Genomic DNA, 2576 nt, shown 5'->3' on the forward strand with positions numbered 1-2576 from the left:
AACTCGTGGCAAGTAGACACCTAGAGGCAGATGAGCAAGAACAAAATGTTTTTATTTGTTTCACAAAAATTTTATTGTTTCATGATATTGAGTTCTCCAGTGATTGATAATAGGGACTGTAAAATAAAAAGTTGAGATTTTAAACAGTGAGATTCAAACCTTAACATAAGTGCCTTTAAAAAGAAATGAAAGCTTAGCTTTTGATAACAGCAACAAAGTTTAAGCCATCATTGCTATAACGCTATTATGTTTCCTTTTTCGGTACACTAGGCCCACAAAAAGCTTTGAAAACAGTACCTTTTGTTTACATTATTAATCTGCTTAGCAAAATATTTCTTTGAGATAATATAAAGGTACATTTCAACCTAATCTATGATAAATGATTGCCAAATCGCTGAGTTGAACTGGAATTAATGAACTTTTATTATGGTAGAGTCCATTTTAAATCTTTTTTTTTTTTCTCCAATCTTGTCAAACTGTATTACATTAGGATCTATTTAACAATCATGTTTGAGTCCTCTGAATTCTTGGTGACTCGCTTCTTTTGACATTTACTTGGTTCTTTTTATTTATGTTTACTCTTTTGCCTAGACCTTGAAATATGATCTAGAAGGAATCAGAACAACCTTGAGCAGAGAGAGAATAGTCCTATAGTTTCTTATTATTATTCTACTAACTTTCTAAGAATTTGGATCATTATTCTACCTATAGTGTGACTGCTGTGGCCTTGAGTTCCTCCTTTGGTTTAACTCATACAATTTCTATTATTTTTGTATTTGGATTATTCATTATTATTTCCTGAATACTAGTTATTTATATTTTCCTATTAGTGCTATTCTGATTTCATTTGTTGTTGTTGTTTAACTTTCATTTTAAGTTCGGGGTGCATGTGCAGGTTTGTTACATAAGTAAACTTCTGTCATGGGGGTTTGTTGTACAGATTATTTCCTCACCCAGGTATTAAGCCTAGTACCCATTAGTTATTTTTCCTGATCCTCTTCCTCCTCCCACCTTCCACCTGCCAAGAGGCCCCAGTGTGTGTTGTTCCCCTCTATGTGTCCACATGTTCTAATCATTTAGCTACCATTTATAAGTGAGAACATACTGTCCCATCACTCTGTGCAATGTTCCTTAAATTGAATTATCTGGTATTTTTTCCTTACTAGATTGATGTCATGCATTTTTTGTCAAGAGTTCTCCAAAAGTGAAGTTGTGCTGTTGTTGGTTCATCATATGAGGAGGTACTTGATGTTGTCATGTCTTTTAACAAATGCTGTTAACTTTGATCACTTGGTTAAGGGGGATATCTGACAGATCTTTCTCCTACAAAATTACCATAATAGTTTTCTAGGGGTATTTGGTTTTCTGTTCCTGCAGTAGTTTGCTACAGATAATGGCCTCCAGCCCCATCCATGTCCCTGCAAAGGACATAATCTCGTTATTCTGACAAGGGATATTTAGTGATTTTTCTAATATCAGTCCTTATCCCAAATCTCAATTCTCCCTCTAAGGAAAATGGAATGAGAAAACCAGAAAGAAAAGCACCCTTGAACACAGACAGAAACATTGGCCCTTCAAACTCCTTAGTTAGCCACTGACCTAGAAAGAAATTACGTTGACAGGAAGAGTCAATATAAGCAGAATTCATTCTGCATTTTCCTGACAGACAAATTGTCATTTATCATTGTTTTCATGGATAGCCAAAGAAAGCCAACTCTTATTTGTTTGAGTAAATGTATTTGTGAACAGCTGTTGCTCAAAACTCTACATAGCTCATTTGCTCAAAACTCTACACAGCTTCCATTCTGCAGCCTTGTGAGGTTCCCGTCTGACTTCTGGGGACTTTCCTAGCCCAGAAGCTCTCTGTGCAGGTGCTGACATGCCCTTCCACTGCTGGCAACACAGACCCGGCCAGCTGGCTTCTACTCCTTCCTTTCTTGTCTCTGTTCAAGCCTGTCTTTTATGTAACAAGGGATCTGTTCTCTTACCCATCTTGCCTGATCCTACCATTTTCCCTCTGCATCTTATTCACAAATTTCTTAATAGAACTTTAGACAATTTGCAAAAATAGTATACTGAGTTCCTCAATGCCCTTTGCTCAGGTCCCCCAGTGATAACATGTTATCTAACCAAAGTCTGATGACCTAAACCAGAAACTAAATTCACCTATAGGCATTATTTGAATTTTTCTAGTTGTTTCACTAGTATCTTTTTTTTTTTCTCTCTGATTCAGAATTCACTCAAGAATTCTGCATTTTATTTAGTTGTCATGTCTCGGTAGTCTCCTATTTGGGACAATTTCTCAGTTTTTTTTTTTTTTTTTCTTTTTGGGCTTTTATAACCTTGACATTTTTAAAGAGTACTGGTCAATCACTCTGTGGAAGGTTTCTTAATTTGAATTATCTGGTATTTTCTGCTTACTAGATTGATGTCATGTATTTTTGTCAAGAGTACTGCAAAAGTGAAGTTGTGCCATTCTTGGTTCATCATATGAGGAGGTAATTGATGTTTTCATGTCTTTTTATGAATGATGTTTACTTTGATCATTTGTTTAAGGGAGATATCTGACAGGTCTT

At 35.5% G+C, this 2576-nt stretch overlaps 1 annotated feature.

The window, feature by feature from the left end:
• Positions 1626-2135: an enhancer, noted in NCBI's record as "active region_22953". NCBI's record gives its function as "activates an Ori minimal core promoter by ATAC-STARR-seq in GM12878 lymphoblastoid cells {active_cell/tissue: GM12878}" and the evidence as "EXISTENCE:reporter gene assay evidence [ECO:0000049][PMID:35858748]".

Source organism: Homo sapiens, chromosome 5 (assembly GCF_000001405.40).
Source record: "Homo sapiens chromosome 5, GRCh38.p14 Primary Assembly".
NCBI classification, from domain to species: domain Eukaryota; kingdom Metazoa; phylum Chordata; class Mammalia; order Primates; family Hominidae; genus Homo; species Homo sapiens.